Source organism: Homo sapiens, chromosome 11 (assembly GCF_000001405.40).
Source record: "Homo sapiens chromosome 11, GRCh38.p14 Primary Assembly".
Lineage (NCBI taxonomy): Eukaryota > Metazoa > Chordata > Mammalia > Primates > Hominidae > Homo > Homo sapiens.
This window is the reverse complement of record NC_000011.10, coordinates 84,776,525-84,804,354: the sequence shown is the minus strand read 5'-3', so window position 1 is coordinate 84,804,354 and position 27,830 is coordinate 84,776,525. Positions and strand designations below refer to the sequence as shown.

Below are 27,830 nucleotides of genomic sequence, written 5' to 3'. Positions count from 1 at the left end.
TGTTTAGCACTTGGCATTTAGCACTTGGCATTTTGTTCTGGAATCTGAGACATTATTGCCTCTAATATTTGAGAGATATCATTCCAAGCTACAAATTCTGGCTGGCAAAGTCACTGTAAACATAAAGTTGGCAGTAGTCACAGTCTGAATGCAAAGGCTGCCAGTCTTGTCCTAAGTGCAGGCATGTATGGCAAAGACTAGTCAATTTGAAAAATAATAATATTTGTCATCACCAAAATATTTACTGTGTGTGAACCACTGTATCCATCATTCTTAATAGTAGCAATAATAATGCAAACAACAATAATAATTGCTACCATAGTAAAATGCATTTTTAAAAGTAGTTTGAGTATATCATGTCATTTAATTCTCACATCTACCACTTTTATATGCATGCTTTTCTGTACCTGTGTGATCATTTAGTTATCTATCAGGCTCTGTTCTAGGAAATACTAGACATAAAGCAGAACAGGATAGCCTAGGTCTCTGTTCTCATGAAGAAGTCAGAAAGCAACATTTCAGATAGAGAAACATGCCTTAAGGACAATAAAAACTTAAGATGTGGCAGAGAATGCTTGAGGTAGTAAGGACTCCTTTATGGGCTAGTCGAGGCAGACCTGTGCAACATAGTCATTTGTCAAACATCAATGCTTTTGATGATTACTCGTAACTTTAAATGTAAAACCTAAAGGCACATTTATATCCTCAAAAAGGCAAGCTTTTGCTTTCTATTGGAATCATAGTTTCATTTCAGATATTTCATAGGGTAGTCATGTAGTGTAAGGTGTAAAATGTTAGAACCCTGAGTCTAAATCACTGCCTGCCCATGTGCTCTTTGTGGAGGATTGTGCTTATCAGAAATATATAACTTACTGCGTTTTCAGGGCCCTCATATCAAAGTCCAAGTAAACATATAATTGACAGTATTAGAGAATTAATTTTTCTAGTGTTTAATCTCTCTATTCATAGTCTCCTATTTTTGTAAAGAAGAAAACAAAACAGCTTTCATTAAAGAAGACACAGAATAGCTCCCTAAGTGATAAATTGATTGGATGGTTGTTGGGTTTTAATAGAGAATATACATTCAACTTCACAATTATTGGTTACTGTTAAAAATAAGATCAGCACTAGCTATTTATTGAGCATCTACAATATATTCTACACTGCATTATATTCTTTATGTATATTTCATTTTATCTTTACAATTTTGTTGGACAAGAGTTGATTCATATCTCCACTTAGAAACAAGGAAAAAGGGCCGGGCGCTGTGGCTTATGCCAGTAAACACAGAACTTTGGGAGGCCGAGGCGGGCAGATCACGAGGGTCAGGAGATTGAGGCAATCCTGGCTAACACTGTGAAACCCGTCTCTACCAAAAATACAAAAAATTAGCCAGGTGTGGTGGTACGTGCCTGTTGTCCCAGCTACTTAGGTGGCTGAGGGAGGAGAATCGCTTGAACCCGGGAGGTGGAGGTTGCAGTGAGCCGAGATCGCGCCTCTGTACTCCAGCCTGGTGACACAGCTAGGCTCTGCCTCATAAAAGAAAGAAAGAAAAGAAAAGATGAGGAAAAAGAAACAAAGAGCGTAAATTGCTTTTTTCTACTTTCATCCCCCCTAACACAGAACAATTCCTCTGCTCATCTCTGGCCTTTTTTCAGTGCCTAGAGGGCTTACCACTATTGACTGCACCACCCAGAGTTTTTTTTTTTTTTTTTGCTGACTTGTTTCTGGTTGTCTAATTGGGTTTGGCCAAAGGGTGATTCCTGCAAGAGATCAGAAGAGAAGAGAAGAAAAATACCAGGGTATTTATTTTCTGCCATAGTAGTGACTGGGGTTGGTCACTCCATAACCGTAGCTCCTGTCAGTCAACACTTCTTCCAAGGCTCCTCTTCTCATCAGACTGTAACTCCCTATTTCTTCTCTCTTGCCCTAATCCTTAGGGATAGTAAAGGTTTCTTGCTGCTGCTGCTGCTGCTGCTGCTGCTGCTGGGTTCCGGAGTGCTTCATTATTCCTTGTTAATTCCCCTAACCTATCATACCTCCCTTTATTACATTATCTTTGGAATTCCATCTTTCCTATTATTCCTATTTCCTATCCATAATTTCCTATTATTTTCTTTGAGGACCCTATGGACACAGAGAGATTATGCAGTTAAATTGCACAATTAGTACATGAGAAACCTAGAATTCTAGCCTAGAATCCCCAGGCTGCCTGATTCCAAAGCTCATGCTTTTTTTTTTTTGCTTTTTTTTTTTAACTAAAAGTAAGCTGTGCTTCCCAATCCCTAAAACATTAAATGATCACCTAAATTATGGAAAGAGTTAATGACTTACCTAAAATGAGCATTATAAACTTAAAAAGTAATTTTTAAACTGGTCAGTTTTTTAGAAATGTGCCCTGTACAGATGCAGAAGCAGAAAACCAGCACAAACAGATGTAACAAAGAACGTGGGAAATTCTTTTGATGTGTTCTCAATACCAAATTTGTCCCCAATTAGAAACCTTTCTAATCATTATGGATGTTCAATGTAGTAGTTTTGTTTTAATTAAACTTTATTGGATCTGTAATCATTATAATGTAGTTTAAAGGCTTTGGCCATTTAAGACTTTAAGTATTTTATGGTTATGTCTTATGATGATCACAACACCTCTTTTCACTGCAGACATTAATATGATTGACCCTGGCTCCCATGATTTGCTTTCATCTGGGGGACACAGCTCCCATCACGGTCAATTATCTCACAGTAATTCCAGCGACAAAAGCAACTTTTTCTCAATTAAGCAATTATTTTTTAGACGGAGTCTCACTCTGTCTCCCAGGGTGGAGTGCAGTGGTGCATCTCCGCTCACTGCAAGCGCCCTTCACGCCATTCTCCTGCCTCAGCCTCCTGCGTAGCTGGGACTACAGGCGCCCGCCACCACACCCGGCTAGTTTTTCGTATTTTTTTAGTAGAGACGGGGTTTCACAGTGTTAGCCAGGATGGTCTTGATCTCCTGACCTCGTGATCCGCCCGCCTCGGCCTCAAAGTGCTAGGAATACAGGCGTGAGTCATGGCGCCTGGCCTCAATTAAACAATTTTCTAATAACCTTCTTGGACTGGAGAATATAGCATGGCACATACTAATATGGCTGCTTTTGTTGAAATTGCTGCTGTATGTGGGTAACTCATACATACTGTGAAGTTTTTCCTGAGATTGAACAATTTAAACAAATTAATATCACAAAGCCAATTTTATATTTGAGACACTTGGAGGATGAATTAAGATCGACTCCTATTCCTGGCCTCATGCTTGGTGCAGATAAGACAAACTTGCACATAAAATCCAGTTCTCCCTGCTGCTCCCCAGGCTTGCTCAGCTGAGATGCTCAGAATTCCTGCAAAGTACATATTAAGAACACTACACCCCCATGTGGTGGCAAAAATATTCCTGGGAAATCATGGATTTTATAAATCATGTTATTTGTAAATTTTCTAGTCCCTCTGAACATGTCATTAAACTTGTAAAACTGTAGACTCGTAAAAATAACTTTAAAAAATATTCTGTGCATAAAATTGTTAAAATCCGTTTGTCAAATCTAACTTTTTTCTTGGCTTAATATAGTCATATCAACTAGAGAAAAGAGAAGGAAACCATAAATTAGACAAACAGCAGGTGTCCAAAGTCTTTTTATTTACTCATCAAAATAATATTTTATGCCTTATCAAAGGTGATAGAAAAATATGATCAACTGTGAATCAGAAGACATGGTTTCTAGATGCCTTGGCCTTCTTCTTGTCAGTTATTTGGCCTTGGACATTGTTTTTAGCTTCAGCATCCTTATCTGCAAAACAAGGGCATGATTTCTATTTTAATTTGTCATTTTAAAAAATGTCAAGTATAGAGTAATATTTTGTTAAATTATGCTTTAAATCCTCTTAATTATACCATGCAATTTCCAGCTAGAAAATGTTAAACTGTACAACCAGCTAATTAAAAATTTCAGAGGCTCTGTATGCTGCATTTTGAAACACTATCTTTAAAATTATTTTTACATGCATGCTGTGTATTTTAAAACTAAAATGATATACAAACACCTATAAATTTATATTTATAGGAAATATATGTAAAGAATGGAGAGAAAGGGAGAGCAATGCCTGAGTCAGCTGTGTTCTCTTCTAAAATTTCTCTAGCTCTTTTATGTTGCTGTGTATTGGGTCTTACTCTCTTGTTCAATTTTGTACATACAGATTTTTAAAATTTTAGTCTCCACTCAACTTAGGGTAAAACCTGATCCTTTGATATCCATAATGCATTCACCCCATCAGACTAGATGGTTTGGTATTACTTGGCTCTTTTATTGATGCCCCATTTATTCTATAGAGGTATTTTGAGAATCAGACAAGATGTGAGAAAGAGCTTCTCATAAAGCATATGCAAATGGAAAGTATTATTATTAATATTCAGCTAGACACTGGTTCCAGGACATTATTTATTACTGTTACTGCTTTAAAATAGAAAAACAAATGAAAACACTTAGAGACCAAAGTTAGAAAGCAGGAGGGTGGGAATAGAACAGAGAAGGCTACTCAGGAAATAACTACCTCTTGAATATTTCCTGGACGCCTTTGGATTTAACACTTTACAGTGCCGTTTGACAAGTAAAATTGAGAAGTTTAAAAAAAAATTATGAAGAAGAAGAGAGTCTCAAAATTATCTTTCCTCTAGACGTAAGAAATTGATAGAGGATTACAAATAAAGCCTTGAGTGTGGAGAAAGACAGCAGAAAAGAAGCCTCCACTGATTGTCCTCGTAAGAGGAACACCAAATTTTAACAGCTGTCTACATACAAAAATGCACCTTCATAAGAATAAAAAATCAGGTGAGCAATCACAATACCTGGTTTTAATTTTATATTACTGAAAGAGGCACTGAAGAGGCTGGGAAAGACACCCCTCTTCCACCCCTCTTCCAACCTCCGGCAGCAGCTGCATGGTGCCAAGAGAGAATCTGTGCACTTGGGGGAGGAAGAGCACAGCAGCTGGAGGGATTTGCATTGAACTCAGTGCTGCCCAGTCCCACAGAGAAAGCATCTGGACCAGAACAGCAAGAGAGGAAGAGCCCTTCCCAGCATTTAGAATTTGAATTTCTTAGCAAGGCTCGCCACCATGAGATAAAGTGCTCTGGGATCATAAATGAACTTGAAAGGCAGTCTGGGACACAAGGACTGTAATTCTTAGGCAAGCCTTGAGGCCGTTGTGGGCCTAGAGCCAGTGGACTGGGGCAATGTGTGACCTAGTGAGACACCAGATGGGATGGCTCAGGGAGTACTTGTGCCATCCTCGCCTCCAGGCAGTGCAGCTTCTAGCAATGAAAGTGACTCCTTTCCTCTGCTTGAGAAGAGGAGAAGAGTAAAGAGGACGTTGTCTTGCATCTTGGATACCAGCTTAGGCACACTAGGATGGGGTGACAGGCAGCTAGCCCCCATACCAGGCCCGAGCTCCCAGACAACATTTCTAGACACATTCTGGGCCAGAAGGGAACCCACCTGCCTTGAAGGGAAGGATGTAGTCCTGGCAGTATATGTCACCTGATGGCTAAAGTGCCCTTGGGCCCTGAATAACCAACAGTAATAGCCAGGTAGTATGCTTTGGGCCTTAGGTTGGACTGAGATGTGCTGGCCTCAGGGACCAGCTTGGCTACAGTAGGATAGAACACCAAGCAGGCTATTGGGGTTCCTGAGTCCAGGCCAAGGCTCTTGGACAGCATTTCTGGACATTCCCTGGGCCAGAGGAGAGCCTTCTGTCCTGAAGGGTGAGTCTCAGATCTGACAGCATCCTCCACAAGCTGACTGAAGAGCCCCTGAGTCTAAGAAAATGTTGGCAGTGGCCTGCCAGAATGCCCCATGGGCCAGTGGTGGTGGTGATGATCATGGAGAGAGCCTCCTTTGCCTGTGGAAAAGAGAGGAAAGAGGGGGAAGGACTTTGTGTTGTTTGAGGGCCAGCTTAGTGACAGTAGAATAGAATACCAGGAAAATTTTGATGGTTTTTTTTACTTCAGTCCCTGGCTTTCAGATAGCATCACTGAAACTTCTTGAGCCTAGAGCAACTTGTCACACTGAAGGGAAGAACACAAACCTGAATGGCTTTGCCATCTGCTGATTCTAGAGCCTTAGGACCTCATATGAACACAGGTGGTAGCCAAGCAGTGGTTACAGTGGTCTTGGACAAGGTACAGTGCTCTATTCTCTTCAGATCTGACCCAGGGCAGTTCCAGTCGTCATGGCTATAGTGGTGCTTGTGTTACCCTACCCCCAGCTCCAGGTGGCTCAGCGCAAAGAGAGAGACTCTGTTTGGGAGAAAATGAAGAGAGCAAGAGAGCAAGAGTATCTGCCTGGTAATCCAGAGAATTCTTCTGAATTTTATCCAAGACCACCATAGTGGTACCTCTGTGAGTCTCCAGGAAGCACAGCATTACTGAGATTGGGGCCCAAGTCTCTTTGAATACTTGGAAAGACTTCCCAAGAAAGACAGGTACAAACAAGCATAAAATTGTGAAGAATACAAGAAATCCCGAGCTCTTCAATGCCCAGACAATGACAAACATCCATAAACATCAAAACCTCCAGGAAAACATGACTTGAACAAAACACCAGTGACTAAACCCAGAGTGACAAAAATATGTAACCTTTCAGACAATCCAAAATAGCTTCTTTGAGGAAGCTCAATCTAATTCAAGAAAATACGGAGAAGGAATTCACAATCCTATTAGACAAACTTAACAGAGACTGAATAATTAAAAAGAAGCAAGCAGAAATTCTGGAGCTGAAAAATTCAACTGACATACTAAAGAATGCATCACAGCATCTCAACAGCAGAATTGATCAAAAAGAAGAAAGAAATCGTGAGCTTGAAGACAGGCTATTTGAAAATTCACAGTCAGAGGAAACAAACATACAAAAAAGAATGAAGCATGCCTAAGATGTAGAAATACCCTCATAAGGGTAAATCTAAGTATTATTAGCCTTAAATTGGAGGAAGATAGAGAGTTTGGGGTAGAAAGTGTATTCAAAGAGATAGTAACAGAGAACTTCCCAAATCTAGAGAAAGATATAAACATTCAAGTCCTAGAAGGTTACAGAATACCAAGCAGATTTAACCCAAAGAAGACTACCTCAAGACATTTAAAAATTAAACTACCAAAAGTCAAGGATAAATAAAAAATCATAGGCCGGGCATGGTGGCTCACGCCTGTAATCCCAGCACTTTAGGAGGCTGAGGCAGGCGGATCACCTGAGGTCAGGAGTGCTAGACCAGCCTGACCAACATGGAGAAACCCCGTCTCTACTAAAAATAGAAAAAATTAGCCAGGTGTGGTGATGCATCCTGTAATCCCAGCTACTCAGGAGGCTGAGGTAGGAGAATCGCTTGAACCCAGGAGGCAGAGGTTGCAGTGAGCCGAAATTGCACCATTGCACTCCAGCCTGGGCAACAAGAGCTAAACTCTGTCTCTAAATAAATAAATAAATAAATAAAATATAATAAAAAATAAAAAATCATAAAAACAACAAAAGAAAAGACACAAATAACATACAAAGGAGCTCCAATATGTCTGGTAACATACTTTTCAATGGGAACCTTATAGGCCGGGAGAGAGTGGCATGACATATTTAAAGTGCTGCAGGGGGAAAAAAATTACCCTAGAATAGTTTATCCGCAAAAATATCTTTCAAGCATGAAGGAGAAATAAAGACCTTCCCAGACAAACAAAAGCTGAGGGATTTCATTAACACCAGATCTGTCTTACAAGAAATGCTAAAGGGAGTTCTTCAACCTGAAGGAAACGGATGTTAATGAGCAGTAAGAAATCTTCCAAAAGTACAAAACTCACTGGTAATAGTAAGCACACAGAAAAACACAGAATATTATAACACTGCAACTGTGGCATGCAAACTACTAATATCTTAAGTAGAAAGATGAAACAATGAACTAATAAAAAATAATAGCTGCAACTTTTCAAGACATAGACAATACAGTAAGACATAAACAGAAACAGCAAAAAGATAAAAAGCAGGGAGACAAAGTTAAAATGATCCATTTTTTATTAGTTTTTAAATTTATTTTTAATTTTTGTTGGTACATAGTAGTGTATATATTTATGGAATTCAAGAGATGTTTTGATACAGGCATACAATGAATAATAGTCACATCTTGGAGAATAGGGTATCCATCTGTCACGAGATACTTGGGGTATCGTTTTTCCAGCTGGAAACCTCTTTGACTAGTGGTACCTTTGCCCAAGTTTTGCTTGGGCCCACTGGGTTTGTTCTGCCCATCTGGCCTGGCAGGCTGCACTTGAGCCAGGTTGAGCCAGGCACAGAATGGCAAGGGGTGTGTGAGCAAGTGAGCATGGGGTCCAGGCACTGCGCAAAGCTAGGCACACCAGCTGTGGTGGGGAGGGCAGCTCCAGGTGTCAGCGTGCGTGCTGGCTTCCTGCGAGCCTGTGGTTGAACCAGGTGTACCACAAGTGGCTTTCACGGTGGGCACCGGGGAACATGGTGGCACTTGGAAGCTTGGAGATGCCAGAAACCATAGAGCCTCAAAGAGGGTTTGGCAGCCCTGGCTCCGGAAGCGTCTACATCCAGGCTCCCCAAAGGGCTGGAGCTCTTCTCTCCTTCTCTCTTCTCTTCTTCTCATTGTCCACAACATGGCAGGCAAAGGATGTGTTTCAGCCCTGTTTGTGTTACAGCTCTTTCAGCTCCACAATTTGGTGGGTCCTGAGTTCTTGTCCCCTGTCTAGGTACACAGACAAGCGGAGGATGATCAAGGTGAAGAGGTGCTTTACTGAGTGACAGAACAGCTCAGAGGAGACCTGCAGTGGGTAGCTCCTCTCTGCAGGCAGGTCATCCTGATGAGTGTCCAGCTCTCAGCAGGGAGGAAACCCACAGTGGGTAGCTCCCCTCCACAGACAAGGTGTCGTGTCAAGTGTTCAGCTTTCAGCAGAGATTGGACCCACAGTGGGTAGCTCCTGTCCGCAGGTAGGTTGTCCTGGCATCTGTTCAGCTCCCAGCAGAGAAGAGACTCACCTTGGGAAGCTCCTCTCTGCAGGCAGAGTGTCCTGAGTGTTCAGCTCTAAGCAAAGAGGAGACCCACAGTGGGGAGCTCCTCTCCACAGGCAGGTCATCCTGACATCTGCCCAAGTCCGGCGAAGTCTGGGGTTTTTATGGGCTAAAGAGTGGAGGAAGTGCATGCTGATTGGTCCACAGGCAGTGATGGGTGGGGTGGGAAAAAGCACCATGTGTTTTCACTCTTGTCCATGGAACTGGTAGCCTGGTCCCCAGGCTTCAGGCTGTCCCAGGCCTGATGGTAGGGCTTCACTAGGGACCTGCTCCTTTCTGCCCAGGAGCTTATCTGCCTCCTGCTGCCATCAACCTGCTGTCTATCGATGGTGCCCACGGCACACAGGCTGTTCATGCCAAGCGGTGCCTGCAGGCTCTTGCCGAGCTGCCCTCAGCCCCACCTCGGCATCCTTTCTGTGCTGGTCAGCAGCCAAAGTCCAGAGGGGGCTGAGTCAGCAGGGGCTGGCATGTCAGTGCTGCCCTGAGCATGTGCACACCCAGTTGGGTTGTGACAGCACCTGGGCTTGGCCTCAATTTTCCTCTGAAATCAAAGTGGGTGCCAGGAGTGGGGAGAGACCAGGGAGCGGGAGCAGGCACTTCGGAGCCTGCAAGGGCAGAGGGGCTTCCTGGACACCCAACAGTGCAGAGATACCTGGGCCCATAACCACCCCTGGGTGGCTGCAGCTGCATCCTGGGAGGTGAGGCTTCTGCCTGCTCCCTGCCCCCAAGAGCACAGGGATGCCCAGGTGTTGAACCATTGCTGGGTGGCTGCAGCTGCACCCAGGGAGCATGAGGCTCCTACTCTGCCAACTCGGAAGGAGTTGGGTCTTCTGCCTGTTCCCAGCTCCCACTGGCTCCATGGAGTACACAGCCCCAGCTGTACCTCCCCTATTGCAGTTGGCGTTATGGCAGTAGCTGCTCCAGCCAGGCCACCACTGCCATCAGATTCTCTCAAACATTTATCCTTTGTGTTACAATCCCGTTACACTCTTTTAATCATTTTAAAATGTGCAATGAAGTTATTCTTGACTATATTCACCTTGCTGGGCTATCAATAGTAGGTCTTATTCTTTCTAAATAGTTTTCTTTTTCCTTATTAGTTTGTTTATGTAATCAGTGATAAATTATCATACGAATGGGTTATAAGATAGTACTTGCAAGCCTCATGGTAACTTCACATCAAAAAACATACAACAGATACATAAACACACAAATTAGAAATTAAATCATACCACCAGAGAAAATCACTTTCACTACAAGGAAGGCAGAAATGAAGGAAAGAAAGAAGAGAAGAACACAAAACAACCCAAAAACAAATAACAAAATAGCAGGAGTAAGATCTTGCTCATCAGTAATAACATCAAAGATAAATGAACTAAGCTTTCCAATGAAAAGACATAGAATGGCTGAATGCATAAAAAGCAAGACTCATTTATCTGTTCCCTATAAGAAACACACTTCCTTTCTAAAGAAACACATAGAATAAAAATAGAAAAAGATATTCCATGCTAATGGAAACCAAAAAAAGAGCAGTAGTAGCTATACTAATATCAGACAAAATAGACTTCAAGACAAAAACTGTAAGGAGAAACAAGGAAGGTAATTATATAATGATAAAGGGGTCCGTACAGCAAGAGGATATGACAATTGTGAATATATATGCAGCCAATGCTTGAGCACCCAGATATGTAAAGCAAATATTCATCAGAGCTAAATAAAGAGATAGACCTCAGTACAATAATAGCTGGAGACTTCAACACTCCACTGTCAACATTGGACAGATCTCCCAGAAAGAAAATCAACAAAGAGACATCAGACTTAACCTGCACTTTAGGACAAATGGACCTAATAGATATTTACAAAACATTTCATCCAGTGGCCAAAAATACACATTATTTTCCTCAGCGCACAGATAATTCTCAAAGACCATATGTTAGGTCACAAAACAAGCCTTAAAACATTTAAAAAATTGAAATAATAGTATTCATCTTCTCTGATTACAATGAAAACAAACTAGAAATCAAAGGACGAATTTTGAAACATTACAACACATGGAAATTAAACAATGTGCTTCTGAATGATCAGTGTATGAATGAAGACATTTAGAAGGAAACCGAAAATTTTTTTGAAAGAAATGATAATGGAAACACAACATACCAAAACCTATGGGATACAGTGAAAGCAGTACTAAGTGGGAAATTTATAGCTATAAGTGCCTACCTCAAAAAAAGAGAAAAACTTCAAATTATTTAATGATACACCTTCAAGAACTAGAATAGCAAGAGCAGACCAAACCCAAAATTAGTAAAAGAAAAGTAATAATAAAGATACAAGCACAAATAAATGAAATTGAAACAAAGAAAACAATGCAAAAGATAAATGAAATTAAAGATGTTTTTGAAAAGATAAATGCAATTAACAAACCTTTATCCAGACTAAGAGCAAAAGAGAGAAGACCCAAATAAATAAAATCAGAGATGAAAAGAAAACATTAAAACTGATATTGCCAAAATTCAAAAGATCATTAGTGGCTACCATGAGCAACTATATGTCAATAAACTGGTAAATCTAGAGGCAATGTATACATTCCTAGACACATAGAACCTACCAATATTGAACTATTAAGAAATCCAAAACCTGAACAGAGCAATGACAAGTAACAAGATAAAATTCATAATTAAAAGTCTCCCATAAAGAAAAACCTGGTACCCAATGGTTTCACTACTTAATTCTACCAAGATTTAAAGAAGTAATACCAATTCTACTCAAAGTATTCCAAAAAAAAAGAAGAGAAAGGAATACTTCCAATTTCATTCTATACGGCCAGTATTAACCTCATACAAAAATCAGACAGACACATCAATAAAACTGTACACTAATATTCCTGATGAATATTGATGCAAAAATACTCAGCAAAATACTAGCAAACCAAATTAAGCAATATGTTAAGAATATCATTCATGATGACCAAGTGGGATTTATCCCAGTGACACAAGGACGTTTCAACATATACAAATCAATCATTGTGATACACCATATAAACAGAATGAAGGACAAAAACCACATGATCTTTTCAATTGATGCTAAAAAGCATTTGATAAAATTCAACATCTCTTCATGATAAAAACCCTCAAAAAACTGGGTATAGAAGGAACATACTACAACATAATAAAAGTCATATATGTCAGACACAAAGCTAGTATCATAATGAATGGGGAAAAACTGAAAGCCTTTCCTCTAAGATCTGCAACATGATAAGGATGCTCACTTTCATCACTGTTATTCAGCATAGTACTGGAACTCCTTAGCTACAGCAATCAGACAATAGAAAGATATAAAAGGCATTCAAGTTGGAAAAGCAGATACCAAATTATCCTTGTTTGTAGATGATATAATCTTACATGGGGAAAAACCAAATGACTCCACCGAAAGAGCTATCGGAACTGATAAATTCAATAAAATTGAAGAATACAAAATCAACATACAAAAATCGGTAGCATTTCTATATGGCAACACTGAACAATCAGAAAAAGATATTTAAAAGTAATCCCATTTGTAGTAGCCATAAATAAAATTAAATATCTAGGAATTAGTCAAAGAAGCAAAAGATCTCCACAATGAAAAGTATAAAACACTGATGAAAGAAATTTAAGAGAACACAAAAACATAAAAAGATATTCCATGTTCATGGATTGGAAGAATCAATGTTGTTAAAATGTCCATACCAGCCAAAGCAATCTACAGATTCAATGCAATCCCTATCAAAATAGCAATGATATTCTTCACATAAATAGAAAAAAATCCTAAAATTTATATGAAATCACAAAAGACCTGAATAGCCAAAACTATTCTGAGCAAAAGAACAAAACTGGAGGAATCACATTACCTGACTTCAAATTGTACTACAGAGTTATAGTAACCACAATAGCACGGTACTGCCATAAAAGCAGATGCATAGACTGATACTGTTTGGCTCTGGGTCCTCAGCCAAATCTTATCTCAAATTGTAATCTTCAGCTGGTGTTGAGGGAGGGAACTGGGTGACAGGTGATTGGTTTATGGGGGCAGTTTTCCCCATGCTGTTATCCGGATAGTGAGTGAGTTCTCATGAGACCTGATGGTTTTGTAAGTGTTTGACAGTTCCTCCTTCACATACTCGATCTCACCTGCCACCACATAAGACATGCCTGCTTCCCCTTCCACCATGACTGTAAGTTTCCTGAGGCCTCCCCAGTCATGCGGAACTGTGAGTCACTTATAAGTTACCCAGTCTCAGGCAGTTCTTTATAGCAGTGTAAGAACAGACTAATACATAGACCAATAGAACAGAATAGAGAACAAAGAAATAAATCCATACACCTACAGTGAAGTCATTTTCAACAAAGGTGCCAAGAACATACACTGGGGGAAGGACAGTCTTTTCAATGAATGGTGCCAGGAAAACTGGATATCCATATGCAAAAGAATAAAACTAGACTACTGTCTCTCATCGTATACAAAAATCAAATCAAAATGGATTAGAGGCTTAAATCTAAGACCTCAGTCTTTGCAACTACTACAAGGAAACATAAGGGAAACCCTCCAGGACATTGATCTGTGCAAAGATGTCTTGACTAATATCTTACAAGCACAGGCAACCAAAGCAAAAATGGACAAATGCAATCACATCAAGTTAAAAAGCTTCTCAACAGCAAAGGAAGCAATCAACAAAGTGAAGAGAAAACCCACAGAATGGGAGAAAATATTTGCAAACTACACATCTAACAAGATATTAATAACCTGAATATATAAGGAGCTCAAACAACTCTATAGAAAACATTCAATAATTTGATTAAAAATGGGCAAAAGATTTGAATAGACATTTCTTAAAAGAAAACATACAAATGGTAAAGAGGTATATGAAAAGGTGCTCAACATCATTGATCATCAGAGAAATGCAAATCAAAACTACAATGAGATATCATCTCACCCCAGTTAAAATGGCTTTTATCCAAAAGGCAGGCAATAACAAATGCTGGAGAGGATCAGTGGAAAAGAGAACTCTCCTACATTGTTAGTGGGAATGTAAATTAGTACAACCTCTTTGGAGAACATTTTAGAGTTCCTAAAAAAAACTAAATATAGAGCTACCATATAATCCAGCAATCGTACTGCTCGCTATATACTGAAAAGAAAGGAAACAGGAATATCGAAAAGATATCTGCACTTCCATGTTTACTGCAGCACTCTTCACAATAGCCAAGGTTTGGGAGTAGCCTAAGTGTTCATGAACAGATCAATTGATAAAGAAAATGTGGTACATATACACAATGGAGTACTGTTCAACTATAAAAAGGAATGAGATCCTGACACTTCAAATAACATGGATAGAATTGGAGGTCATTATATTAAGTGAAATAGGCCAGGCACAGAAAGAAAACCTTAGCATGGTCTCACTTTTTTGTGGGAGCTAAAAATTAAAACAATTGAACTTACTGTTTAAATTCAATTGAGATTAGAAGGATAGTTACCAGAGACTGGGAAGGGTAGTGAGGGTTAATGGGGGGATGTAGAGATGGTTAATGGTTAAAAAAATAGAAAAAATAGAAAAGTTAGAAAGAATGAATAAAAGATGGTATTTGATAGCACAGCAAGGTGACTGTAGTCAATAATAATTTAATTGCACATTTAAAAATAACTAAAAAGTATAATTCGATTGTTTGTAACACAAGGGATAAAGGCTTGAGGGGATAGATACTTCATTTACCGTGATGTGATTATAAAGTATTGCATAACTACATTAAAGTATCTCATGTACCCCATAAATATATGTGCCTACTATATACCCACAAAAAATAAAAATTAGGAAAAAAAATAAAGCTTTGTCCTAAAATGTTTACTCAATCATTGTCTTAATGCTATTTAACAAAGTTTGATAAACAGTAAGTGAGTCTTAAGGAAGGTTTTTGAGTGCTGTACATAACTTTAGGGAAGGATCACTGCAGCCATTATGAGAAAGACTGCAGATTGGGTGAAACTGGAGGATAAATAGTAGCAGTCCTGTTAGAAACTCCAGGAAAGGCAGTGAGTGGCAGAACATGCTATCCAATCATCATGAAAACACTGCAGTTTCTAAGCCTCCACCTTACAGGAAAGTTCAGAAACAAGGGCATAGAAAATTGATTTGCAAGGTGCTGTGCCAAGATTATTTCTTTTGCATGTCTCTCTTTGTTTCACTTCCTTGCATTATTTTCTGAGTGATTCTGTAGACAAGGCATAGGGATGAATTCATTCTGGATTTAAAAACTCTATTTGATAGCACCATCTTCTGTTCTGGTCTTAGTGAGGAAAACAGAGCTTCCCTGAGTCGCCATGATATCATTTAGTGATGAGGCTGGAAAAGGACCATAATATGAGGAAACCCTGGAGGATCAAATCTGCTAACTTTGATACATTTGTTTATTGAGTCAACATACATTATTATGTGATGCTACTGTTTCTAGGTTTCTGCTAGGTGATTGAAGAGCAAAATGTTTGGACGAAATAATGACAATCTTCCCTTTCTCATGGAGGTCCCACTGTAGTAGGAGAGATAAGTAATCAAATAATTTTAACTGTATTATTTAGTATATGACATACACCTATAAATCTATATTTATAATAAATATACACAAGTAGTAGAGGGAAACATTGTATATACGTTATAAAATGTATTATAACTACATTATACATTGGAATACTAAGAAAAGTAATATAAATGAAAGAGAAAATGCACTCAAAGGTATGAATGTATGTGGAGAATGACTCAGGACCACAGGCATGCATTTTATTACCCTGATTGATATTATTAGGTCGCAGTGACAGAGACATTTCTGAAAGTAGCGCATACCTACTTTATTTATTCAGTAAGTAGTTTTTGAACACCTGTTGTGTTCCAAGTAATGTGCCTCATGTTGAATATAGGTCGTAGTACTTACATAGGAGGCTCTTGCTTTCTGACCCTCTCTCAGCAGAGAAAGTGAGAAGTGTAATGGGGAAAGACCCCCATTATTTGTGACTGATTTTGTTTTACTATTTTTGTTTTTACCTGCTGGCTACTTTGTCCTTTATCTGGATGTGTCTTGTGGAGATTGATGTGGTTTCTTCTTCTTCTTTTTTTTTTTTTTTTTTTTTTTTTGAGACATATTCACACTCTGTCACCCAGGCTGGAATGCAGTGGCTCAGTCTCAGCTCATTCAACCTCTACCTCCCTGGTTCAACTGATTCTTATGCCTCAGTCTCCCAAGTAACTGGGACTACAGGCATGCACCATCACACCCAGCTAATTTTTTTTTTTTTGTAAGTAGAGACAGGGTTTCACCATATTGGCCAGGCTGGTCTTGAACTCCTAGCCTCAAGTGATCCACCTGTCTCGGCCTCCCAAAGTGCTGGGATTACAGGCATGAGCCACTGTGCCAGGTCAGTTTCTCCCTTCTTCACATTCCCACATAATTTTGTATGAACCACTAGTTTAATGGATGTTCTGCAATTTATCTTCCAGTGGTGAGGGCCTTCAAGTATTTGTGAATGTACTATGATGTGCAGGAACTCAGATAGAAATTGGACACAGAAAAATAAATTAGGCATATATTCTTTAGACACAAGGCTCAGAATATTATAGAGGAAATACACATATAGGTGCATAATTGCCATACTAAGTGAGGTGGTAGAGATATATATTGGGTAAAGAGGTGGAACAGAGGGAATAAGCATTTATTTCTTCCTCATAGTAGAGATGGAGTAGAGAGAGGGATTTCAGAAAAACTTTGTAGTGGAGCTATGAGAGTTTAGAAAGAATAAATTAATTATTTAGAGAAGGAAAGGCCTTCTGTGCATAGGGAACAGCATTTGCAAAGGCACAGAGGCACAGGACAAGTAATTGGATTTGGCTAGAGTAGGACATGAGTTAAAAAGACAGAATTCAAACCATAGGAATCTGGAGCACGCCAGGTCAGACACTAAGCAGAAGAAAAGAGAACAATGGAGTCTTATGGAGAAGCAATAGAAAGTACAGAAGCCCCCTAATGGAAAACTTACCAGAGACACTTGCCAAGAGTCAATCTAGAAAAAGGACATGGCTCTACTCCTGGGGTACTGGGGCATGAGTGAATGTGGGTCACATTTAAGGCAGCCTGATAATGCCTGCTGCAAAAAAGTCATTGTTTCTCCTGTGTTGGTTCTTTGAGTCTCATTAGTGAACATCTCAGTGCACAGACACTCTAATTAGATTGGTTTGGGTTCCTAGATTAGATCTGAATTTTTACAAATGTTTCTTCCCACCAAAGCCATTACTCTTCAAAAGCCGGAGCAGTGCACAGACTTACTTCAGAGAATTTTCCTGGCCCCCGGGACCCTAATTAAAGGAAGGTCTAGACAAAGAGGAGAGCTTTGCCTATCTTTCTGAACATAGGGTGGTGGTGTCACAGAGCGATTTTTACTGCCAGTTAACTTTGTGTCTATGGTAGTTCTTTTGAGGATTTTCTGCAACTGTCTGCCCTATTGCTGCTGCAATGGAAATATTCAATTGAGGCAGCTCTTATCAATGGGTGGAATGCTTCAGAAGAGATTGGTTATGGCTCATTGGAGCTTTATTCAGATCTTACAGGAAGAAGGCCTAACAATGGAATTGATGTTTTTTGGGGGAAGCCAGTGTTTACATGAGTGGACGGAAGGCGGAACAGAGAAATAGGGAGCTCAGTGCTCTATCTTAGAAGCTTGTTATAAAAGTGATCAGTCATCCTGTAGTTTCTAGTAGTTCTTTCTAGCTGTATTTAGCTATTAACTTCTGGAATGTCCTAGCTTGGAATTGATAATTTTGTGGCTTTCAGAATTTCTACGTTTTCTTATAATAAAACCAAATGGTTAGTTCTATATATCTGTGGTTTATGATACTTCATTATTTTCCATATGGTCAGGATAGACCAACTATCTTCTTATGAGTGTTCAAGTGAGTAGTTGGTTTTATTATTCTAATTTTTCAGGTACAAAATTGAGGGCTTAGGGTAGTTACAGTTTATATCACTTGTTCTATAGGCAACTGGGGGAGCTGGGATAAAAACCAAACTTCTTCTATGACTAATGTTAAGTAAAATTTGAATAAGTTCAGAATGAATCATGATGATGATATATTTTATCTTTAAGAATATTTCCTAGTTTTGTCCACTTAAAAGAGCTAGAAGTAATGATAGCATAGTAGATATGAACATCTGTAGTGTTTCCAGTGTGGTTTCCAAATACCATTTCCTAATAAAAGGTAACAGATCTTCTTGGGAAAAAAAATGATTTTCAAGAAAAAGACTTATTCTAGGTCTTAGGTAGGAAAATGACAAGATGGAACTGAAATATTTTGTTATGTCAGAAAGCAATTAACCTATCCACCAAGATATGGAGTGTCATCATAAAAGGACTCGAAAGCCTACCAGCTTCCACTGGTCAAAATAAGGCAATCTGAGCATCAATAAAGATAATAATTATAATGGGTTAAAACATAATAAAAATGTTTAGATCCATGATTTCATAAAGATATTATTTAAAAATCACCTGATTACTAGATTTGGAAATACTAGGGAACCTATTTTTTGTTTTGAAAACGAATCAATAGGAAGAATAAAACATTTACCTTGTTGGTTCTATACAATTTCAAATTCAAGGTTACCAAATAAGTGAAATGAAATTTCTCTTTATAGTGGTCTTGTACCTAATCAATTATGAAGGAATAATAGAATATCACCATTTTAAATTACTAGATCTGCAAAATATTTGTCCATGGTTACAACATCATAAAAAGACAATTAGACATCATGTGACTTCTAATGGAAGTATACCTAACAACTCATGAGGAGTCTTGCGTAAAATATTGCTCCTCAGTTTGATCAAATCTAGATTTAACTTCCAATTCATGGGAGATATAGGGAACCATAACATAAGATAATATGATCAGAAAAAAATTATACTGTCAGAAGCACTACAGGAGAATTTTTTTTTATTTAAAAAAAGCATATTTTTAAACAAATACATTGCAAGAGGAGAGTGATAGAATGAGGAGATCCTGTAGATTAAAAGAAACGTAAGAGACATGCAAACCATATATAGCCTTGTTTTGCAGCCTGATCTGAACAAACTTTTTTTCTCATCATACATTTATTTATTTATTTTTAAATTGACACAAAATTGTATGTATTTATGTGAACCATGCGATGTTTTAAAGTATACATACATCGTAGAATGATTAAATCTAGCTAATTAACATATGCATTACCTCACATAGTTATCATTTCTGTGATGAGAATACTTTACACCAACTCTCTTGGCTTTTTTCAAAAATACAATGTATTATTAACTATAGTCAACATGTTGTACAAGAGATCTGTTGAAATTTACTCCTCCTATCTGAAATTTTTTATACTTTGACCAACATCTCCCCAACGGCCACCACATCACCCCAGTCTCTAGTAACCACCAGTCTACTCTCTATTTATATAAGATCATTTTTTTGAGCAAGCTTTTTTTTTAAATTGGAAAACCAAGAAATGTTGAATCTTCATTAACTATTTCATGATTTTAAAGAATTTTTGTTGGTACTAGAGTTATTTTTAAAAGCAAGAGTCTTTATATGTAGATCTTCTTAAAATATTTACAGATGAAGTGAAATGATGTCTGATTTTGCTTCAAAATAATCTGAGGGAGTGGTTAGGAGTATAGATGACATAAAGTTGGTTGCAAGTTGATCATTATTGAAGATGAATGAGGAGGTACACAGTCTTATTTTAATGTATTTGAAATTTTCCTTAATACAAAGAATGAGAGAGGACCCAGATATTTCTGACTCCACGGACAATGTTCTTATTTTATGTTCTATACTCTTGTTTAATTTATTTATTTATTTATTTATTTATTTATTTATTTATTTATTTATTTTGAGGTGGAGTTTCGCTCTTGTTGCCCAGGCTGAAATGCAATGGTGCAATCTCGGCTCACTGAAACCTCCACCACCCGGGATCAAGCAATTATGCCTCAGCCTCCTGAGTAGCTGGGATTACAGGTGCCTGCCACCATGCTCAGCTAAGCTTTTTTTTTTTTTTTTTTTTTTTTTTTTGCATTTTTAGTAGAGATGGGGTTTCACTATATTGGCCAGGCTGGTCTTGAACTCCTGACCTCAGGCGATCCACCCGCCTCAGCCTCCCAAAGTGCTGGGATTATAGGTGTGAGCCACTGTGCCCAGCCTATACCCTTATTTTTAATAAGCTCATTGTTAAGGGTTACCAGACAAAATAAGAATTACAAGCACCCATGCTAGAAAACTCCATTTGCTTCCCAACTCCCTTAGCCATAGCTTATACCTAAGCAGATTTTATATGATGGGAGCTTAACATATATGTTTACTGAGCTAAATAATAGCTATATAGGTGAAACATACAGATACCAATAATTATTTGACATGTTGAACATGTATGGAGGAAAAACTCTGAAACAGGAATCAAAAACCTTTAATTCTGACTCTAGATCAGTTGCATTAGAGTTGAGACATTTTAGGCTTCTCTGAGTTTGAGTAGGAATAGTAATTACCTTTATAGATCTTTTGAGAGGCTCCAGTGAAATATTGTATGTAAACATCTCTACTAAAGCTATAGTGTTATATCAGTGTAAGATACTCTTATTGATTAGTACAAAATTTAGATGCCATGAGACCGCAGAGAAGGAAATGATTCTCACAAACTTTGGAGCTCTGAAGATTTCATGGATGAGCAAGTACATAAGTTGAACCTTGGAGAACAGAAAATGCTTAGTCTGGCAGAAAGGATGCTACAGAAAGAGAACACAGAAAGATCAAGGATTCAGAGTAGGAATGAATTTAGCATTTAAGGGGCACAGGGTGATGGAGTCAGACAGTGTCAGAACTGAAAGGGATCTTAGAAATTGTCCAGAACAAATACTTTATTTAAGTGTTGAGAAAACTAAGGCCGTGATAGGATAAGTGTTTTACCCAGGATGAAAATAGCTAGTAAGTGACTGAGCCAACGACTTCAAATCACATCATTTTTCCTCCTATGAAAGCTTCCTCTTAGTAGTAAAATTTAGACTACTAGAGCTGAGGATGTAAGATTGATTAAGCAGGGTGAGATCAATTGATTTTTTTTAAGTCTTTGACTGTTAGATTTTAGATATTATCTCTTATGTAATTGAGAGTCTTGGTAGATTTTAAGCAAGAGAGTTATAGGAAGAAGCAGTGGGTTGAGAATAATGTGCTTCATACATAGGAAGGACTAAAGGTTGAAACAGCAAGATGCTACACGATGCTACTGCAGTTTCTCATATGTGAGGATGAGGACTGCCAGAAAGGTACGCTGATGCTGGTGGGATAGAGAAAAAGAGTGACACTCTTAAGAGGAAAATTAAAAGTGATCAATGACAGATCCAAAATAACTATATAGGACCATGTAGGACTGTAAGTGTATTCATATATTATAAAATTTTGCAAAGAAGAGTGTAAAGAAGATATGTTTTTTATGATAGAGCCATCCCTATCCCACTCCTCCATGTAATAGATATTTCACAAACAGTGAGAAACCTGAGATTCAGAGAGAAGAGTTGATTTATTCAAGTTCTCATAGGTGGCAAATGATTGAGTCAAAACTCAAGTCTAGTGCCATTTCCACAACCTAGGATTTCTTAACCCGGGATTCATAGATCTTCCAGGAGTTAATGACTAAGCTTCAGTTATTCACTAAGCCCTATAGAGATATACGCAAATATTTTGAATTACTCATTTTAATGTGTGTGTGTGTGTGTGTGTGTGTGTGGTAGGGGTAGTTAGTGGGAAAGAGAATGTGTGTATGTAGGTGGGTGGGTAGGAAGCCAGTGGGAAAGAATGTTCATAACTTTTACTAAATCCTCAAAGTTATCTTTGATTCCCCAAAACTTAAAAACTTAAAGGTACCTAGTGATATATTTAAAGCAATATTATTTTGGATAAATATTTAATCAAGTTATATTTCTCTCCTCTCAAAAGTTTGTCTTTCCCATCTAATCCACCCCGGATAGTATCTTGGAGTGTGGGGAAGTTTACATGTCTTTATAATGGGAGTAAACACCTGGGCTACATGTGTGTGTCTGTTACCCGTGGGGTTTTGCAGGTATCCATGGAAGTGTTTCTTGTCTTGATTTCCAAGAATCATACTGATATTGTCAAGTGAAGATTGTGGCTGCTAATGGTATTCCAAGCATCTTCTTTTGGCATGGCTAGAGATCGATGACTTGGCTCTATCTTGATTCCTATTTGGGCTTCAATTCTGCTTCTTGCATCCTAGGTCTGTCCTCCATCCAGCCTCTGTCTTAGACCCTGCCCTCTGCCATCTCTGTTGTATATCACTATAGAAGCTGCATGGGTAGGCTTGGAATCTCTCGACTACTAAAAGTTGTTCAGCACTGAGGACATGGAAATATCTTGTTTCCTTCCATACTACATGGCTGCAAAGAGTAATTTTGGGGTGACATCTCTGGTCCACTCTAAACATGAATATTCTTTAAAATCATTTTTGTCTCAACTATAACTACTGCGGTTGTCAGAGGGTCTCAGTCTTCAATTTGTGTCTCCTAAAGAGGAGCAATAACATTTCATAAGATTGTGGTAATAAGAAGTAGTATGTTTATAAATGTCTTAGAATACTTTCTGGCACTTAAAGGACAATTTCTATTATTATTATTATATTATTATTTTATTATCATGTATTAGGTCGTTTTCCTCTTAGTATTCTTGATGCTACCACAAAGCTTGAAACAGAATAGAAACTTAGTAAATATTTGATTAATGAATGAAATCAACTCAGGGAGGAGGTCCTATGTGGTGCTAAAATAACAGCAAAAAGCAATCAGAAAACCCTTAACTAACTTCTCAGTTTACCTACAGGTATTCCAGAAAATATATGTTTGGTATGTCAAAACTACTAAAATATCTGTGTTTCAAATTATATTCTCCAGAAGTATATACTGTCTGAAGAAACTAGATAGTTTCTGAATGTTTTCTACAAACTATTTGTTTACTTTGTGACACTAACTTACATTCAAAAGATACCTTGTTTTGTATTTTTATATTCTGTGCTCCATCCACATTTGGTAGTTCCAAACTTAGATTGAAATTACTTAGAAAGTATACACACACACACACACACACACACACACACATTAAGTTATGATGAACTTTTGGCAGACAATGAAGTCTTGTCGCTTTTTTTTTTTTTTTTTGTACAATCCTGGAGTAAAGCACTTCACAATTCATAGCTTGACTCTATCCTTTATGTTCCTTGCTTTTAGCTACTCAGCCGTTCTAAACAACTGAGCAGTTGCCATCTAGTGGGAAAAAACTATAATGGCATAAAGGAAGCTGAATTCAAAACAATCATTAAGATGAATATACCTGGAAGAAGGAAGTTAAATCCATCCACAAATTTTGCGATAATAGTATCATTTGTTACTAAATGTGTATATTGGAGCTATAGGGAAATATCTGAATTTTAAAAATGTTTTCAATTCAATGTAAGAGAAAATTATAACCACAATAAGATGTCACCACATACCTATTAGAATGATACAACAACAACAATAACAAATGACAGTACCAAATGTGGATAAGGATGTTAGGCAATCAGAATTCACACACACTGCTGATGAGAATGAAAAAATGTTACAGCCACTCAGGAAAACAGTTTGGCAGTTTCTTATAAAGTTAAACATAAACTTACCATAAATCCAGCAATCTGAGAAATATATCTTTGTTCCAGTTCTTACAGGAAATGTTTTCAACTTTTTCCTATTCAGTGTGATGTTTCCTGTGTGTATATTATATATGGCCTATATTTTTTTGAGGTATGTTGCTTCTATGTATAGTTTTTTAATTTTTTTATCATGAAGTCATGCTGAATTTTATTAAATGCTTTTTCTTTGTCTATTGAGATGATCATATCGTTTTTGTCTTAATTTTATGTGATGTATCATATTTATTAATTTGAGAATATTGAGCCATCTTTGCATCCCTAGCATAAAAACCATTTGATCATGGTGTATAATCTTTTTGATGTGATGTTGGATTGGGTTTGCTAGTAATGAACAAAGATTTTTGCATCTTTGTTCATTAGGAAAATTGGTTTATAATTTTCTATTTTTGTTGTGTCCTTGCCTCGTTTTGGTATCAGGATGATACTGGCATGGTAGAATGTATTAGGAAGAATTTTCTCTTCTTTGATTTGAACGATTTTAGGAGGATTGGTATTAGTTCTTCTTTGTATATCTGGTAGAATTTGGTTGTGAATATCACAATCTGGTCCTGGTCCTGGTCCTGGGCTTTTTTTTTTGTTGAGAGATTGTTTTGTTATTGATCCTATCTTATTATTGATCTGTTCAGATTTTCTATTTCTTCCTGGCTCAATACGGGGAGGTTGTACATTTCCAGAAATTTATCCATTTCCTCTAAGTTTTCTATTTTATGAGCATGTAGTTGTTCATAATAGTCTCTGATGAACTTTCATGTTTCTGTGGCATTAATTTTAATGTCTCCTTTTTCATTTCTGATTTTGTTTATTTGGTTATTCTCTCCTCTTGGTTAGTCTAGCTAGAAGTTTATCAGTTTTGCCTCTCTCCTATTTAACATAGCACTGGAAGTCCTAGCCAGAACGATCAGGCAAGAGAAAGAAAGAAAAGGCATCCAAATTGGAAAGGAGGAAGTCAAGTTATTCCTGTTTGCTGATGATATGATCTTGTATTTAGAAAAAACTAATGACTCCACAAAAAAACTCCTAGATTTGATAAGTGAATTTAGTAAAGTTGTAGGATATAAAATCAATGTATAAAAATAAGTAGCATTTGTAGAAACCAAAAGATCTAGCAGATAAAGAAATAAAGAAAGCAGTATTATTTACAATAGCAACAAAAAAAGAGTACCTGAGAATAAATTTCACAAAAAAAGTTATATTAGGGTTCTCCAGAGGGACCGAACTAATAGGATATGTGTGTGTGTATATATACATATATATGTGTGTGTGTGTGTGTGTGCGCACATATATATATATGAGAAAGGGAATTTATTAAGGAGAATTACTCACACAATCACAACGTGAAGTCCCACAGTAGGCCATCTGCAAGTTGAGGGGCAAGGAAGCCAGTAGTGGCTCAGTCTGAGTCCCAAAACCTCAAAAGTAGGGAAGCCGACAGTGCAGGCTTTCATCAGTGGCTGAAGGCCTGAGAGCCCCTGGCAAACCACTGGCGTAGGTTCAAGAGTCCAAAAACCAAAGAACTTGGAGTCTGATGTTCAAGAGCAGGAAGCATCCCTCACAGGAGAAATAGAAAGGCGGGAAGACTCAGCAAGTCAGCTTCTTTCACCTTCTTCTGCCTGCTTTCTCTAGCCATGCTGATAGTTGATTGGATGGTGCTCACACATAATGGGAGTGGGTCTTCTTGAGGGTGAGTCTTCCTCTCTCAGTTCACTGACTCAAATGTTAATCTCTTCTGGCAACACCCAGATACATCCAAAAACAATAATTTCCCTCCTTCAATCCAATCAGCTTGACACAATATTAACCATCACAGAAGGTGAAAGATGTCTACAAGGAAAACTACAAAACAATGATGAAATAAATTGTAGATAACACAAATAAAAAATCTCATTCTCACGGACTGGAAGAATTAATATTGTTAACATGACTATACTGCTCAAAGCAATCTACAGATTCAATGCATTTTTTATCAAAATACCAACAATTTTGCACAGAATTAGAAAAAGCAATTTAAAAATTTTATGGAATCAAAAATGAACCAGAAGACTCAAAACGTCTTAAGCAAGAAGAACAAAACTGAGAGAATCACATTACCTGATTTTATATTCCAAGGCTATAATAATCAAACCAGCATGATACTGGTATAAAAATAAAAAGACACATGGATCAATAGAACAGAATAGAGAATCCAGAAATGAAGCCACATAACTACAACCAACTGATCTTTGATAGACCTGACAAGAACATACATTGGGAAAAGGATACTCTTTTCAATAAATGGTACTGGGAAAATCGGATTACCATATGCAGATGAATGAAATTGGATCCATATCTCTGGCCGTATACCAAAATCAACTCAAGATGGATTAAAGACGTAAACATAAGACCTGAAACTATAAAAATGCTAGAAGAATACCTAGGGAAAACTCTTCTGGATATCGGTCTAGGCAAAGAATTTATGACTAACTCCTGAAAAGCACAGGCAACAAAACCAAAAATAGACAAATGGGGCTTAATTAAACTAAAAATCTTCTGCACAGCAAAGGAAATAATTGACAGAGTGAACAGACAGCCTGCAAAATGGGAGCAAATATTTATAAACTATTCATCCAACAGGGAACTAATATTCAGAATTTACAAGGAACTCAAACAACTGAACAAAATCAACAAATAATCCCATTAAAAAGTGGGCAAAGGACATGAATAGACATTTTTCAAAAGAAGACATACAACTGGTATATGAAATAATGCTCAACGTCACTTATCAAGAAAAGCAAATTAAAACCACAGTGAGATATCTTACCCCAGTCAGAATGGCTGTTTTTAAAGAAACAAAATAAATAAATAAATAAATAAAATAACAAATGTTGGTGAGGATGCAAATAAAAGGGAACTCTTATACACTGTTAGTGGGAGCGTAAATTAGTCCAACCTCTATGGAAAACAGTATGGAGTTTTCTCAAAAAAATCTAAAAAACAGCTACTATTAGATACAGCAATCCCACTCTAAGCTATCTGCTCAGAGGAGAAGAAATCAATATATCAAAAAGATACCTACACTGTTACGTTTATCACAGCACTATTCACAATAGCAAAGATACAGAATAAACATAAGCATCCATCAGTGGATGACTGGGTAAAGAAAACGTATATATATATATATATATATATATATATATATATATATATATACACACACACATATACATACACACACAATGGATACTATTTAGACAGCAAAAAGAATGAAATTACATCTTTTGCAGCAACATGGATGGAACTGGAGGTCATTAAGTGAAACACAGAAAGTCAAACACAGAAAGTCAAATATTGCATGTTCTCACTCATAAATGGGTGCTTAAAAAAGTGTACATACGGACATACAGAGTGAAATGACAGACACCCAAGACTCGCAAAGGTGAGGAAGTGAGAGAGCTGGATGATAAGAAATTACTTAATGGGTACAATGTATGTTATTTGAGTGATGGATACCCTAAAAGCCCTGACTTGAGCACTATAACAATCTATGCTTATAACAAAATTACACTTCTACCCAGTAATTTATACAAATAAAAAAGAAAAATATATCTTTGCACAATATATTTTAATAATACTTATAGCAGATTTATCCCTAATCTTCTATAGCTGGAAAGATACCAAATGTCCATCAGGTAATTAATGGATAAAGTGTGGTATATCCATATAATGGAATACCCCTCTGCAATATAAGCAAATGAAATATTGGTATACATGACAACATGGATGACTCTCAAATGGATTATGTTAACTCAAACCAGACTCAAAATACTATATATTATATCGTTTTCACTAATATGCCATTATGGAAATTAGAAAACTTTTTGGACAGAAATCAGATCAGTGGTTGCCAGGACATATGGATTGGGAGAGGCTATGAATTATAAACATACATAAAAGAACTTTTGGGATG

General features: G+C 37.5%; 1 protein-coding gene and 1 long non-coding RNA gene across 28 annotated transcripts in view, besides 1 other annotated feature; one reads left to right on the top strand and one right to left on the bottom strand.

The window, feature by feature from the left end:
- The window catches only part of DLG2 (discs large MAGUK scaffold protein 2), a 2,173,362-nt gene that overhangs the window by 824,019 nt on the left and 1,321,513 nt on the right, over positions 1-27,830 (top strand). The window lies entirely within an intron of this gene.
- LOC124902727 (uncharacterized) overlaps positions 3,652-27,830 on the bottom strand; it is an 80,292-nt gene continuing 56,113 nt past the window's right edge. For both annotated transcript variants that reach the window (NR_189147.1, NR_189146.1), the window contains exon 4: positions 3,652-3,824. This is a non-coding gene — a long non-coding RNA (uncharacterized LOC124902727). The remainder of the gene's footprint in view (positions 3,825-27,830) is intronic.
- Positions 9,610-10,111: an enhancer, noted in NCBI's record as "H3K4me1 hESC enhancer chr11:84505287-84505788 (GRCh37/hg19 assembly coordinates)". NCBI's record gives its function as "activates a minimal SCP1, AML or CMV promoter by ChIP-STARR-seq in primed H9 embryonic stem cells {active_cell/tissue: H9 hESC(primed)}" and the evidence as "EXISTENCE:reporter gene assay evidence [ECO:0000049][PMID:30033119]".